The sequence below is a fragment of the Homo sapiens genome, chromosome 8, assembly GCF_000001405.40.
Source record: "Homo sapiens chromosome 8, GRCh38.p14 Primary Assembly".
Lineage (NCBI taxonomy): Eukaryota > Metazoa > Chordata > Mammalia > Primates > Hominidae > Homo > Homo sapiens.
Genome location: NC_000008.11, coordinates 27,504,842 through 27,520,854, shown reverse-complemented (window position 1 = coordinate 27,520,854; position 16,013 = coordinate 27,504,842). Strand labels below are relative to the sequence as shown.

The 16,013-nt window shown below is 47.9% G+C and overlaps 1 protein-coding gene across 15 annotated transcripts in view; it reads right to left on the bottom strand.

Annotated features, from left to right (window-relative positions):
- The window catches only part of EPHX2 (epoxide hydrolase 2), a 57,484-nt gene that overhangs the window by 27,772 nt on the left and 13,699 nt on the right, over window positions 1–16,013 (bottom strand). For 10 of the 15 annotated variants that reach the window (NR_182231.1, NR_182233.1, NM_001414017.1 and 7 more), the window contains 6 exons: window positions 15,709–15,899; window positions 13,861–13,983; window positions 8,945–9,019; window positions 5,042–5,137; window positions 4,457–4,535; window positions 2,783–2,817 (listed from right to left, as the gene is read on the bottom strand). Coding sequence is in view for 12 of the 15 variants with exons in the window: in NM_001414017.1 (NP_001400946.1) it covers window positions 2,783–2,817; window positions 4,457–4,535; window positions 5,042–5,137; window positions 8,945–9,019; window positions 13,861–13,983; window positions 15,709–15,899 (599 nt within the window). In the remaining 3 variants the exon portion in view is untranslated. Of the gene's footprint in view, window positions 1–2,766; window positions 2,818–4,456; window positions 4,536–5,041; window positions 5,138–8,944; window positions 9,020–9,479; window positions 9,671–12,407; window positions 13,984–15,708; window positions 15,900–16,013 lie in introns of those variants that run through there. The other 5 variants (NR_182232.1, NM_001414019.1, NM_001414020.1 and 2 more) reach the window with 5 other exon arrangements.

Here is a 16,013-nt window from a genome sequence, read left to right as displayed (position 1 = left end):
TCAGCAACCACACCCGCCTGCCTCAGCCTTTATGATGGGCTGAACTGCGTCCTCCCCAAAACTGCTGTGTTGAAGTCCTAACCCCCAGGGCCTCAGAATGGGACTGTTTTTGAAGATACAGCCTTTAAGGAGATGATTAAGGTAAAATGAGGCCATATGGGTGAGCCCTAATCCAACGGGTCTGGGAGTCCTGATCAGAGGAGGAGATTAAGCCGGGCACAGTCGCTCAAGGCTGTAATCCCAGCACTTTGGGAGGCCGAGGCGGGCAGAACATGAGGTCAAGAGATCAAGATCATCCTGGCCAACATGGTGAAACCCCATCTCTACTAAAAATATAAAAATTAGCTGGGTGTGGTGGTGCACGCCTATAGTCCCAGCTACTTGGGAGAATGAGGCAGGAGAATCACTTGAACCCGGGAGGCAGAGATTGCAGTGAGCCGAGATCATGCCACTGCACTCCAGCCTGGTAACAAAGTGAAACTCCATCTCAAAAAAAAAACCCAAAACAAAACAAAACAAAAATTAGCTGGGCACGGTGGCCGGCGCCTGTAATCCCAGCTACTCAGGAGGCTGAGGCAGGAGAATCGCTTGAACTCAGGAGGCGGAGGTTGCAGTGAGCTGAGATCGCACCACTGCACTCTAGCCTGGGCAACAGAACAAGACTCCATCTCAAAAAAATAAAAAAAATAAAATTAAAAAAAAAGGAGAGATTAGGCTGGGCACAATGGCCCGCACCTGTAATCCTAGCACTTTGGGAGGCTGAGGCAGGAGGATCCCTTGAGCCCAGAAGTTGAAGACCAACCGGGGCAACATAAGGAGACCCTGTTGCTTATTAAAAAAAAAAAAAAGAAAAGAAAAGAGGAGGAGATTAGGACACAGACACGCACAGAGGGACGAGCACGTGAGGACACAGGAAGAAGGTGGCATCTACAAGCCCAGGAAAGGCCTCAGAGAAACAACTGTGCCTTTGTTGGCCAGACCTAGGCCAGACCTGTGCAGACTGTGACCAGCATGGAGTTCCTGCTCTAAGACAGGTGTAAGCACCATCCTGGAGAGGAGCCCCTCACTTCAGTGCTGGCACCGGAGGCCGAGACCTTGATCTTAGACTTCCAGCCTCCAAAACTGTGAGAAAACAAACGTCTATTGTTGAAGTGCCTAGTCTGTGGCGCTTTGTTACGGTAGCCAGGCTGAGCAGTGCAGCCGTCCATCGTTCATCAGTCTTCACGACATCACCCTTCCCTTCCCAGCATCCTCTCAGGAACCAAGCTGACTCCAAACACGCACAGTGAATTATTCAGTGTATGCCAATACATATCCCTAACTATCCCATCACCATTGTAAGACAGCAAGCCTGGGCTCTTTACTGGAGGGGGACGGAAGACAGCTGCCCTGTAGAGCTTGCCCTTGTGCTGCTGCAGGGGAGCAGTGAGAGGCTCGTTCCACCCTGGGGACAACACATTCCTGCCCCCACCACCCACTGTCCTGACACAGAAACTGGCTTCTTTTGCTAAGCATCGTCTTTTGAGGGATCATTCCCACTGAAGCTTGCACCAGCACGTCATTCCTCTGTATAGCTGAACAGTGTCCCACTGCAGGGATGGCCCACATTTTATTTATCCATTCATCAGCTGATGGACATGTGGGTTGTCTCCATTTTTGGCTGTTAGGGATAATGCTGCTGTGAACATTTGCATCTGGGTATCTTTGTGGACCTATGTCATCGATTTTCTTGGGTAAATACCTAGCTGTGGATGTACTCATGATTTTTCAAAGGTGGAACAGGAGGATGGGAGCACCATCTTGTTTGTTTTTGGTAAAAGGACTTTCTTCAAGAGACCAGTTCTCCTAAGTGACCCAATGTCCCTGTCTCAAGAATGGATTTTGATGGAAATAAGCAAGGTCCAGGTTAGAGGACAACAGCAGGATAGGGGCTCCTGGGGTCACTGGTGAGACCTTGGTAGGACTTTGGGGGAGACACTTGGGATCAGAAGCAGCAGAGTGCAAGAGGCAAAGACTGGAAAACTGAGGAAGGAGGAGCAGCCCTGCCTGGAAATGGAACTTTTACCCATGATTGCTTCTGAGATGCCAAAGCCAGCGCATGAAGCTGTGGGGCACACATGAGGGGGAGAAGCCCCCACAGGGCTGTGACTCAGAGATGGAGGCTTTTGTAATCGTAGTGTCACCAGCAGCATTACTAGTTCCCCAGCCAACCTGGGGGCTGTTTCCTCCCCTGGGCTCCCCCAGCTTTTGCTTTTGCTCCTGAGCTGCGTGGAGGTTTGGGACCCAGTCTCTCCTCCCCTTGGCCTTGGCCTCCCCTGCCAGCACTGAAGTGAGGGGCCCCTCTCCAGGATGGTGCTTACACCTGTCTTAGAGCAGGAATTCCATGCTGGTCACAGTCTGCACAGGTCTGGCCTAGGTCTGGCCAACAATGTCTTTACCAGAATAAAGTGACTTTTTTCAATGCTTTAGATGGTGAGGCAATCGAATGCAGTACTGCAGGCTTCCAACCTGGCTCTACTGGCTACTGACCTCAGGCAATTACCTTTAACTTCCCATGACTCAGTTTTCTCTTCTGTCAGTTGCTTGGAGGAAGACCTGACACACAGTCGATGCTGCATACATGTGGGCTATCATTTGGAAATACTGTTCAACTTTCAGTAGGAATTTATACCCAGAGGCTGTGAAATGATGCTTCCCTAAAATTTGAATGGATACCCCAGCTTCGGGTTTATAGCAACAAAAATCGCAGGATGGGGAAGATGTTACCCAAGATTCTTCTTACCTTACATAACACTTCCATGCAATATTCTTCTATTTCTGCAATTAAAAATAAAAGAAACATATTTAATTCACGTTACTTAAAATATATCAACACATCAAAAGGACCTTTTTGCAAAGAAAACCAAAAACCAAACAACAACAACAAAAACCCACAAAAACTTACTAAATCCTTAGACTGAGGTAGACTCGAGTGTTTGCTTTTGCTTTTGTTGCCTGTGCTTTTGATGTCATATCCATCTGTGAAATCATTGCCAAGACCAATGTCAAGCTTTCCCCCTGTGTTTTCTTCTAGAAGCTGTACAGTTTCAGGTCATACATCTAAGCCTTTCATCCATTTTGAGTTGATTTTTGTGTGTGGTGTAAGATAAAGGTCCAATTTCATTCTTTTTCATGTTTCCCCACCACCATTTGTTTGAAGAGAGTGTCCTTTCTCCACTGTGTATTCTTGATACCCTTGTCAAAGATCAGTTGACCACATACATGTGGATCAACTGCTGGGCTTTCTATTCTGTTCCACTGAAAGTATGTCTGTCTTTATGTTTGTATCACACTGTTTGTATCATACTATAGACTTATAATGTAGTTTGAAATCAGGAAGTGTGCTTCAAATGCCTCCAGCTTTGTTATTCTTTCTGAAGGTCGCTTTGACTATTTGCAGTCTTTTGTGGGTCCATAAGAACTGTAGAATTGCTGTCTCTATTTTTGTAAAAAATGCCATTGAGATTTTGACAGGGATTGCATTGCATCTGTAGGTTACTTTGGGTCATATGAGTACCCAAATCAATGGGTAGTATGATTTAAAAAATAATAGCAATTTTAACAATAACAATATTTTAACAATAGCAATTCCAGAAAGCAAAAAGAAAAAGAACAACAAAAATAGAGAAAATACAAGAAAAAATTATCAAAGAAATAATTCATGAAAAGTTACAAGAACTGAAAGATAAATGTATCCAGCAAAGTGGGTCTCTACTAAAAATACAAAAATTAGCCAGGTGTGGTGGCACACACGTGTAATCCCAGCTACTAGGGAGGCTGAGGCAGGAGAATCACTTGAACCCAGGAGGCAGAGGTTGCAGTGAGCTAAGATCACACCATTGCACTCTAGCCTGGGTGACAGAGTGAGACTCCGTCTCAAAAAAAAAAAAAAAAAATAGGAAGGAAATTGTGGTGCCGTCTATAACATGGAGGAAACTTCAGGACATTATGCTAAGTGAAAGAAGCCAGACACAAAAGCACAAATACTGTATGATTCCACTTATATGCAGTCTTTAGAGGAGTTAGATTCATAGAGACAGAAAGTAGAATGGAAGTTGTCAGGGGTTGGGGAGAGGAAGAACTGAGGACTGAATACAGCCTTTCAGTTTTGCAAGATGAAGAATGTTCTGGAGATGGATGGTACATTCTATGTCCGCCATCCCCCATGATCAGTGGGAGATCCCTTGGAGCATGAGCCTTAGGGGCTGCTGTATTCATTCAGAGTGTGGGGGGCAGGGGCATCTGAGGCCCAAAGTGCAGAGACACAGGGCACCGTAGGAGAGGAAAGAGGTGAAGTCAGACTCTCTTAAGGGGAAGGCTACTCTGATCTGGGACCAGGGAAAGCACCGAGGCGTGGAGCGCTCAGGCAGGTAGAAGGCAAGACCAGCATAAGACAGCTGCAAGACAGCACACCCACCGGGAGGAGCAGATGACTCTCCATAGCCTTTCATGTCCATAGCTAGGACCCGGTAACCTGCCTGGGCCAGAGCAGGGATCTAGAAAACAAACAGGCACACTCCAGCATGGTCCCATCAGTCCTAGGCGGATACTCCCTCTTTGCTTCCCTCCATCCCCTTCTTCCTGTAAATGGATCAAACCAAGAGCCACAGGGCACTACCCGGTAACTTTGCCATGGAGCTGAAATAAGCCCATTTATACAGGGCTGCTGTGGACGGTGGTGGGGCACGGGAGAAATGCCACATCTAAGACAGCATCTTCCCTGGCAAAGCTCTTGCAGCTTTCTATACTCATTACAGAGACTTCCCAGCAGGGGGCATGGAGTGTCTTAAAGAAGTCTGCCCTTTTCTAATCTGCAAAAGTGCCTCGTGGCCTAACATAGCCCTGAGGTCTGGAGTCACCCTCCTGCCCCAACCTGGTCACACTTTGGAGACAATGCTCCACTGTCAGGTTTCAGCTTCCTCACGACAGTCCACGTCGGACCACACCATCTAGACTCCCCCAACCTCACCCTGACTGGCTGCATCTTCCCCAGCTTTCTCACCTGGTACCTCCAAGAATACCAACTCTCGGGAAATCCATGGCAGAGGCACACAGCAGGGCCGGAGCCCAGCTCCACAAAATGCAGACGGACCCTGGGCTGTGGAAGGGAAAGAGGAGAGGGCAGCGACCAAGCACCAGGCCCAGTGGACCCAGGCCCCACAGCGTCTGCAGAATGCCAGGGCCGTTTCAGTCCGTTGCTGGATTGTGCATGACCCAGATTTCTCAGTGAAAGACCCCAGTGTTACATGAAAATGGCTGAGAAGAGGCCCTGGCCAACCTACTCAATAAAAACAGGTGGCTCTCACCATAACCTAAGAATTCTGCAAAGATTATGATGTTGGAAAACAAAATAAAACAAAACAACACACTTCTCCTTCCTCTCTACAAGGCCCCCATACTCTCACAGTTTCTGATGCTGTTGTGATGTGTTTTCAGTATATTAAACAGGGGGCTGATACTGTGCAGAGCTTAATATTCATGGTCACGTGCAGAATACTGTTGCAAGACTTTTCCTTAGTTCAGCTGAAGACGGGGTTCTTGTTCCCAAGGTCATGAAAATATAGGCTCGCAGTTTGAAGCATGAGTAAAGAGCAGGGTTTTCTTGGTGAAAAGGAAAAAAACGGGGAACAGGGACTCTCTGCAAGGCCAGAGTTCCCTGCCACAGCACTTCCCGCCTCGCTGTTGGAATCCCAGTTTCCACACAGGAGGAGGAGGGGCCAGGCTCCTCCCTGCTGCAAAGGGCAAGAACTTCCTGAGGCTCCACCCCAGTGCACAGGCTGTTTGGAGTTTCTCTGGGGACCCCCTCCCACCTGGCTGTCTCAATACTATAAGTGTTTCATTAAGAGCTGTTTACTTCTTAAATATGAAATCTGTTCAAGCTTTGCCACACCCATAGTCTTTTTGGGGGCTACGGGTGTGGCAGAGACTGTGAGGGCTTGACAAAGTCTGTGTTCCCATCTTCTTCCAGACACATGGTAGCATCTCGCAGAGCACCTCCCCCTCCTACAGTCGGTGTGGACGCACAAGTGAGCTCCGGCCAGTGTCTCCCAAGCAGAGGAAAGGTGCTACATCCGGGGGTCACAGGAACCTCCTGTGCGTGGCCTCCCTCCCTTTGCCTATCTCTGCCTGAATGACATGGGCCTCGAGGAAGGTGGAGGCAGCAGAGAGAAGGAGTCTGGTTGCTTGAATGGCTGTGTGGACAGAGCCCACAACACTGCACTGTGCTGTAGGCGAGAAATACACTTGGTGTGAAGCCACTGAAAGGGACAGGGTGTTTGTTATAGCCACTAACCAGCCTTGACTGTTATGGTGGGGTCCAGCCAAATGAACCAAATAATCAAAGTGCCCTGTTCTTACCCCAATTACATATCTCCACGATCCTAAAGGAAATGCAGGAGAACAATCAGAGTCACATTATAGAAATTCACGTGGAACAATTCCACTTGGCTGTATGTTAGATGACTCCAAGCTGTGCCCCACACTGGAAGTTTCTTTTTTGGGCAGTGTGGGGGACATGGTCTCACTTTGTTGCCCAGGCTGGAGGGCAGGGGCATGATCATAGCTCACTGCAGCCTCAAACTCCTGGGCTCTAGCGATCCTCCCACCTCAGTCTCCCAAGTAGCTGGGACCACAGATGCATACCACCACCCCAGCTAATTTTAGAGATGGGGGGTCTCACTATGTTGCCCAGGCTGGTCTCGAACTCCTGGCATTAAGTGATCCTCCTGCCTTGGCCTCCCAAAGTGCTGGGATTACAGGCATGAGCCACCACACCTGGCCCCACAGAAAGTTTTATTCATAATTCCCAACAAGCTATTTTGCTCAAGAAAACATTAGGTGGGCATCTGGCAGACCCTCTCACAGACTACAGTGTTTATCAGAGTTTGTTCCATAGTCTTTCCTTCAGCACTTGGCAAAAGTTGACATTAAATTTGATCTACCTTACACTGAGAAATGTTTCACACTTATGTCTGATCAAAAACGATCCTAGTTCGCCTGTGTTCTAGCACAGATCCCAACTAAACAGCTCACTCTTGAGCTTTATCATCTCATCATGAAGCTGTGGATACTGAGGCTCACAGCTTCATATTGACTCAGCTGAGTAGCCCAGCAAACGCATGTCCTTTCCCATCTCATTTTTTTTCTGTGTTAAGAAAAATGTCCATAAAGCCAGAACACAGAAAGATCTATTATCAACCCAGTTTAGGATTCAGTGGCAATCAATACAACAGCCCCCTGAGAGCCTGGCGCAGCTGGGACTCCCCAGAAATTCACTGCCAGCTCTTAAATATGGGGTGGGGGAAAGACAAGGTGGGGTAAAGTGATTCTGATCACACTCCTTCAAGGTCAAATAAATAATCTCTTGAAACTGGCTGGATATGCAAACCCTAAGGGAATTATGAGAATAACCCTGTCCACGGTTACAATCCAGCCCCCAGCCCTGGGCGAAAAGCCCCTCACTCCTCTTTACCACCAGAGAGATGAGACCAGAAGGCCCTGATTAAACACTCACCCCTTCAGGAGAACCCAGAGTTATAGAAGGGATGTCAGTGGCGCTGAGCAGTAGCTTTAAGTCCCAGAAAAGCCTTTTCTTACTATGCAAACCCACTCGTGCCTGGATGCCCACTTTACATTTGTGGTGGCTGCCTCCACCCTGGCAGAACCCATTCTGAGCACAGATCCCATTCTGAGCAGGCACCTCATCCTTGCTGTAACCAAACCACCGAGGTTGTGAGTGTAAAATCCCTGGGACCATGGAAGACCCTCCATTCATCTCAGAATTTCTCTCTGAAGGTTCTCCTCCAGGACAGCAAGGGTCCCCAAGGTCTCCAAGGTCAGCACAGCCATAGCCTCCAGTTCTCCTGTTTGTCAGCTGCTGTTTATGGAGTACGTGGCTGTTGGATACTATGCCCCATGGTCTGCATACAACATTTCATTTAATTCTCACAGAAATGGCATGGAGAGATATTATTGTCATTTCATTATGAAGTTGTGGATACTGATGCTCACCGGGATAAGATGCTTGTCCAAGGCTGCAATGTCAGTTAAGTGGCAAAACCAAGATTCCAGCTGGGTTTATCTGCCTGCACAGTAGCTGTCTGGCCTTTTTTGCTGATGAGTGGACCCACTGCTTTAGATCCTTTCATATTTAAATGAGGCCAATGACAAATGAGGAAAGATCCCAAAGTGAATCCATGAGGACGTACTAAACCCCTGCTCTGTGTCAGCAAGCCAAGTTAGATGTCTCAGCCAGGCCACGAGCCAGGGCCCTCTGTGTGTGGCCTTGGCTTTATGATAACCCTTTAAAACAAAAAGAACATTTTAATGACCTTTCCCTCTCTTTGCCCTCAATGTGGGCTCCTTGAGGACAGGTCTGTCTTGATCGTCACTGCACCCCTTGTATCTGGCCTGTGCCTGACACAGAGGAAGTGTTCGATAAATGCCTGTTGAATGAAAACATGCTCTCCTCCAACACAGGCCAGCTGTGTGCATGCTTTAGCCTCCCAGGCTGCCCAAGCTCCCTAGCCTGCTGTTCTATGGGGGTTTGGCCACATCAGTCACACTGCTTTATAGAATCCGAGACAGGGTCTGTCTTTCACTGATTTCTGAGGAATGAGATTTGTGGGAAATAACATTTCCTTATAAATAGTGGATGTTCAACCACCCTCGATATTTAACAAATGTCACTGCTGGTCCTTTTTTTTTTTTTTTTTTCTTGAGACAGGGTTTCACTCCGTTGCCCAGGCTGGAGCACAGTGGTGTGATCACAGCTCACTGCAACCTCCACTTCCCAGGCTCAGGTTCAGGTGATCCTCACAGCTCAGCCTCTTGGGTGTCTCTGCTGGTCGTTTTAGGTGACCTGGTGGGAGAGCACTTAGCCGACTGAGAGACAAAACTGACTCACCTTTACTGTCACGTACCCATGGCTCATGTCACTTGGATTGCAAGAGGTCGGCAGAGGGGCCGGGGTATTGAGAAGCTGTAAGCAGGAAAGGTATAGTGAGAGAGACAGCAGCAGCCTCCTTCCGTGAGAGGCTCTCCTGAATACTGGTGCCAGGGGAGGCCTTGGAAATCACCTTTTCCACTCCATCCTGAGCCCTCCTGGTGGCTGACCAGCCCATCTCCCTCTCCTGCCAGCACAGCCAGACTCCATTCTCCCTCCTGCCTTCCAGTTGAGTGGAGCCCCAAGACTGAGTTCTGGCCAATGGATGCAGATGGAAGAGTGCAGCCTCCTACCTGGCACATTAAAACCCCCAAATGATTCTCTACATTCCTCAACTCCCCATCTTCCAGCTGGGTGTCCAGTGTGACCTCAAAAACCACAGGTAGAAGACAGTGCATCCTCCATCATCCTGAGTCCCTGAATGACTGCATGAGGCGAAGCCCCTGGCCACTGGCCACTGAACTCCATATAAGCAAGAAGCAAAAATCACTTGCTCTAAGCGAGAGAATTTGGACTTTAATTAATATTATTTGCTTCTGTGGCAGCTCCTCCGATGGTCGCCCAGGCTCATGTGGGACACCATGCGAAGCTCACACAGCAGTCACTCCAGCACAGCTCTGCTGAAAGGTCTCTCCTTCAAGTCGGCCAAAATCAAACTCTCTGGGCCTTTGTATTAGTTTGCTGTGGCTGCCATGACAAAATACCAGTTTATGTGGTTTCAAGAACAGATATTTATTTCCTCACAGTTCTGGAGGCTGGAAGTCCAAAGTCAAGGTGCTGGTGGGGCTGGTTTCTCCTGAGGCCTCTCTCCCTGGCTTGCAGATGGCCATCTTCTCCTAGTGTCTTCACATGGTCTTTCCCTTGTGTCCTCATGCCCTGGGTACCTCTCTGTGTGTGTCCTAATCTCTGCCTCTTCTCCCTTTTTTGGGGGTCTCTGCTCTGTCATCCAGGCTGACATGCAGTGATGTGATCACAGCTCACTGCAGCCTTGACCTCCTTGGCTCAAGGGATCCTCCCACCTCAGCCTCCTAAGTAGCTGGGACTATAGGTGTGCACTACCACGGCCAGCTATTTTTTTTTTTTAAAGACAGGATCTTACTATGTTGCCCAGGCTGGCCTCGAACTCCTGGCCTCAAGTGATCCTCCCACCTTGGCCTCCCAAAGTGCTGGGATTACAGGAGTGAGCCACGGCTCCTGTGCTTAATCTCTCCTTCTTCTAAAGAGACCAGTCAGATGAGATTAGGGCTCAGCCTTGTGACCTGATTTTAACTTCATTACCTCCTTGAACGCCCTTTCTTCAGACCCAGTCACATCCTGAGGTATTAGAGGTTAGGACTTCACTGTATTAATTTTGGGGGACACAGTCTAGCCCCTAATAGCCTTCCACCGGCAGGTGCCAGGCCTGTTCTCAGGAGTCCGTGAGGGCTTAGACTAACCCATCTCAGTAAATAGGAAATTCCTGAACAAGGAGTCCTTATGGTGGCTTTTGTACCTTACTGGAATCAGTTTCCCTGAGGCAGAAATGACAAGGAGCCCACTACTGAGGACACGTATGTGAATATAGCCTTATGCCTGAACTCTGCTGCTGGACACGCTGTGAATCCTACTGCTGGATTGGTCACTTTTAGTCCTAAAGGCGTAACCCAACGAAAAATTCATTCTCCTCAGTGACTCAGTTTTGTGACCTCTAAAATGGGGACGTAAGCTAAGAAATCTACCTCCTTTATAACTATGGAAGACTCTGCAGAGGGGGACACAGGAGGTGAGTCCTCCCATCTCCATGGCATCTGGAGAAGACAGGGGCAGGGAGGGACTCAGTGTGATGGGGGAGGGCAGGCTGCTGTCTCCTGATGGCCATGAGCCCATGGTCGGGCGGGAGCCAAGGCCTGTGAGCAGGGCCGGTGCCCCTTAGGGTCCCTCCTGCCATGTGTCCTCAGTTTCCTAGGTCATACACCAGGGGATGCCCTTGCTTTTGGGGGTGGGAAAAGTGGGGGGTTCCTACTTTAATAATCATCTTATATGTTTGTGCAATTTACAAAGGCTGTTCATGACTGACGCCCACTGCCTTCCTCTGAGAAACAGACGCAGGCTCCCCTGTTTAAGAAGGGGTGATTTTTCTGTGGGGATATAAAAGGGTATAACTGCTGTGAAAAACAGCACAGCATTTCCTCAAACATTTAAAAATAGAATTTTGGCCAGGCACGGTGGCTCACGCCTGTAAACCTCGCACTTTGGGAGGCCGAGGCAGGTGGATCACTTAGACCAGCCTGATCAACATGGGGGAATCCTGTCTCTACTAAAAATACAAAAATTAGCCAGAAATCGCTTGATCCTGGGAGGCAGAGGTTGCAGTGAGCCAATATTGTGCCACTGCACTCCAGCCTGGCCAACAGAGTGAGACTCTGTCTGAAAAAAGAAATAATAATAAATAAAAGAAAAGAAAAACAGAATTTCCATATGATCCAGTAATTCCACTCGTAGGTATACACACAGAAGCATTGAAAACAGGGTCTCAAAGAGATACATGCACACTCACATTCATAGCAGCACTATTCCCAATAGCCAAAAGGCAAAAGCAACTCAGGCGTCCTTGGATAGCTCAGTGGATAAACCCAATGTGATCTATCCATACAGTGGAATAGTTAGTATTCTATCCCAAAAAGGAAGGAAACTCAGACCCACGCTGCAACATGGGTGAACCTTGGAGACATTATGCTAAGTGAAATAAGCCAGTTACAAAAAGACAAATATTGTGATTCCACTTACATTAGGTCCCTAGAGGAGTCCAATTCATAGAGAAAAAAGCAGGATGGGGGTTGCCAGGGGCCAGGACACACAGTCTACAGCACGTCTGCTGTAGGTAGCAGCTGAAGGTGCTATATAAGACACAGCCCTAGCAAAAAAAAAAAAAAAAAAAAAAAAAAAGCAGGATGGGGGTTGCCAGGGGCCAGGGCATGCCATTGAATGGAAAGTTGGTGTTTGATGGTCCAGAGTTTCATGTGAGGGAGATGAAAAAGTTCTGGAGGTGAGTGGTGGTGATGACTGCACGACAGTGTACATTTTCTTAACATCACTGAACTGTCCACACACACACGTGCGTGCGCGCACACACACACACAAAGATGGCAAATTTTACGTTACATGCATTTTTCCACAATGAAAAAAATACAAGGGGGATGATGTTCATTTTTCCTTCTATCTTCCTCTTCCTCCTACCCCTGAGACAAAGAGAAGTGAGATATAGTTTTTACTTTCCCAGTTTCACAGGACAGGTATCTGTGGCTCAGGTATGCTGAGGGGACAGACCTAGCCAGGGGCACAAGCACATGGGTTCCCTGAGCCCAAGTCTGATGTGCTTTCTTCTCTGTTGCCTGGGACTTGCAGGTTTGTAGAAGGACAAATGAACAAAGCTTGGGCAAGATGCTTTAAGGTTATGGAGTCACTGGGTATACATTTTAATTTATTCACTAAAGACAAAAAAATCAGTCTTGTCATGGGCTAAACTGTATCACTCTCAAAATTCACGTTAAAGTCTTAGTGCCAATACTTTTTTGTTTGTTTGTTTTTGGAGACAGAGTCTCGCTCTTGTTGTCCAGGTTGAAATGCAGTAGCACGATCTTGAATCATTGCAACCTCCACCTCCTGGGTTCAAGCTATTCTCGTGCCTCAGCTTCCCGAGCAGCTGGGATTACAGGTGCCCACCACTATGCTTGGCTAAGTTTTTATATTTTTAGTAGAGACGGGGTTGTAGCCATGTTGGCCAGGTTGGTCTCGAACTCCTGACATCAACCGATCCGCCCACCTTGGCCTCCCAAAGGGCTGTGATTACAGGAGTGAGCCACTGCACCCAGCCTTAGCCCCCAATACTTTAGAATGTGACTGTATTCGGAGATTAGGCCTTTACAGAGGTAACTAAGGTTAAAGGACGTCATTAGGGTGGGACCTAGTGCAATCTGACGGGTATCCTCATAAAAGGAGGAAGTTAGGAAGCAGAAAGACACAGGGAAAAACCAAGTGAGGAAATAGGGAGAAAGTGGCTGTCTTCAAGCCAAGGAGAGAGGCTTCTGGAGAAACCAACCCTGCTGGCACCTTGATCTTGGACTTCCAGCCTCCAGAACAGTGAGAAAATACATGTCTGTTGTTGAAGCCACACAGCCTGTAGTACTTTGTTATGGCAGCCCGAGCAAACTAACCTACTTCCCTTTGAGGCAATGGCTGTGCATCCTTGGACATGTGGCAGCCTCAGCTGAGTGCCAGCTTTCTCCTGCCTCTTCTCCCCTGTGCTCACAGGATGAGGGTGCTGCACTTCTGCAGAAGGCTGTGGACTCAGTGAGATCAGCGATCTCAGGTCAACCCCAAAAAAGAAAGGTGCCTCAGAACTGGAGGAGCAGGCTAATCCCCAGGCAACCCCAGGGACATCATGATGGCTGTCCCAACCACCTCAGGGACGGACAGGCTTTTCTTAAGAGGCTTCCCTCTGAGCTGGGTGGAACTAAAGGGCTGCACCTGAGTGCCAGCGGCATGCTCGACATGCCAGGTAGGGGCCCTGATCCTTAGGGTAAACGTTCTCCATACTTACTCTCAAAAGTGAGGTCAGGATGACCTTGAACATCCCACTCTTGCTGCCAGTTCCCCGGCCCTGGCACTAACACTAGTATAAATTCTTGTCTCCCTGTTCACTGACTGCAGAGAAAGAGGCAAGATGCTCCTTAGGGACATCGTGCTGACTGCACAGTGGGTGATGGACTCCCAACCAGCGGTGCCCAGGAGTCATTCATGGACTCCACGGACAGCAGCTTCTCTGCTCGTGGTTTTCTCCTGAGTCCAGAAACCACAGATGAGTCCAGGAAGCTTGGCTCGCTCAGAAGTCAAGTTACCTGGATTCCGGTCACTTTCTCCAGTTCTTTCAGGGCCGTGTCAGTGTCCTGGACCAGGATGGTGACCATTCCCAAGTCACGGGCTGGCTTCAGATTAGCCCCGATGTCATCCAAAAAAACGACCTGAGCCCAAAACAGCATGGGAGAATCTCAGAAAGAAACTCACCAGAATGCAAACAGGGGCTATTTTATGATGAGGAGATTAAAAACTCTTTTTCTTTTATAACCATCTACTGCTAAAATGGAAAGCATTTAATTACACAACATACGCATGAAAACAAAGGCACATATGACCCCACACAGACCTACTGGCTTCAGCCACTTCTGAAATTGCAAGAGGGTTAGGAGAGGATACACACTTATCAAGGTGACATTAAAATTCTTCTGGGAAAATCAACAGGCATAAGTAGACCAAAAAATGTATCTGGAAAAGAACTGTAGTGAGGGCAGAGAGTCAAACAATTGATGAAGCTACAAAAGGTAGAAATTTGGCACTAGAAAAGAAACAGACATGTCTATGAAATAGAACCAAATACAAATAAGAATTTAGTTTCTAAGAAAAGTGTCATGTCCAATTGGTAAGGAAGATTGTTTAATGGCCTTGGTATGACTGGTTAACTGTTTGGGGGAATAAAATGGATCCTTACTTTATATCTTACCCCCAAATAGATTCTTAATGAATCAAAAATTTATATGTAGTAATAAAGAAAGTGCTAGGCTTGATGGCTCACACCTGTAATCCCAGCACTTTGGGAGACTGGAAGGATTGGTTGAAACCAGGAGTTCAAGATTAGCATGAACAATATAGTGAGACCCCCGTTACAACAGAATGTAAAAAATTAGCCATGCATGGTGGTATGAACCTGTGGTCATAGCTACTTGGGAGGCTGAGGCAGGACGATCACTTGAGCTCAGGAGTTTGAGGCTGCAGTGAGCTATGATCGCTTCACTGCACTCTAGCCTAGGTGACAGAGTGAGGCTCTGTCTCTAAGAAAAAATAAATTAATTAGTTAAACAATAAATAAATAAAAAGAGAAGAAAAATCCTGGAAGTCATAGAAAGCATGGGTGCATGCATTTACCATCTTGGACAAGGGAAGTCTAGAATTCTAAGCAGCTCATCCAACCTGGAAGCCATCGATAGGAAGACTGATATATTCCTGTGCAGGCTTAGATTGGGAGCCCTGCTCTGAGGCTGACTCCAGGCACTGAGAAGAGAAGAAGCAAAGTCCAGGAGGTGAAAGGGGAGGTCCCAGGATGCAGCATGGTGAGGACTCCAAGGCTAGAGTTCAGGGTTTGCTCTGGTCAGCTTGTGGGGAGGTGGGGGGTTGGAAATGTGAGGGAAAGGAATTTAATCTCCATTCAATCACCTTTTGTAGATTAAAGTAGAGACACACAAAGAGAAAAGAGCTTTAGGACAGGTGATCTCTGGAGACAGGCTCAGGGCACAGGGTGTCTGGTGGGAGAGCATGGCAATACCGGAGCCTGTCCTCACTCACCCTTTGTGGGGATGAACCTGACTACTAGTCTTGTGGCCTTGCAAGTCTCCCAGGATCTCCATTTCTTTGTAAGTAAACTGAGGCAGCTGGGCTAAAACAGCTTTTGCTGATGCCTGTTTTGACCAAAGTTCTGTAAGAGCTATACAATGGAGCCAAATGCCCACCTCTGGGAGAACTTTCTAGATCAAAGAATGGGTAACAGTCTTCTAGGAGAAGACGTGGTCTGGGAGAAGTGGACTCAGAGCTGTCCTGCCAGGCCCAAGATGCATCCCACCTGCTCACTCCTCAGTTTTTCCCTGGTTGCAATATCTCTGAACATCCTTCTCTGCCATAAGGAAGTGTCTCCGTACCTCACTGGGGCTGGCCTTCAGGGTGTCCAGCAGAAACTTGTAGATCTGAGGTTCAGGTTTGACCATTCCCACCTGACACGACTCTATCAGGAAGTCAAAGTGCATCTTCAGCTCACACATCAGCTGGGCCAGGCCATCTCTCTCAGCACGGTCGTCCAGCCAGGTGTTGGTGAGGATGGCAGTAGTGAATCCTGAGCAAAAAGCCACCAGTAGATAGACCAGCTACAGACCTTTGCCCTGAAATGCTCCAGATACCCCCAAGGGACTCCAATGATGGGCCAAGCAGGTTGTGCTCACTTTTATTA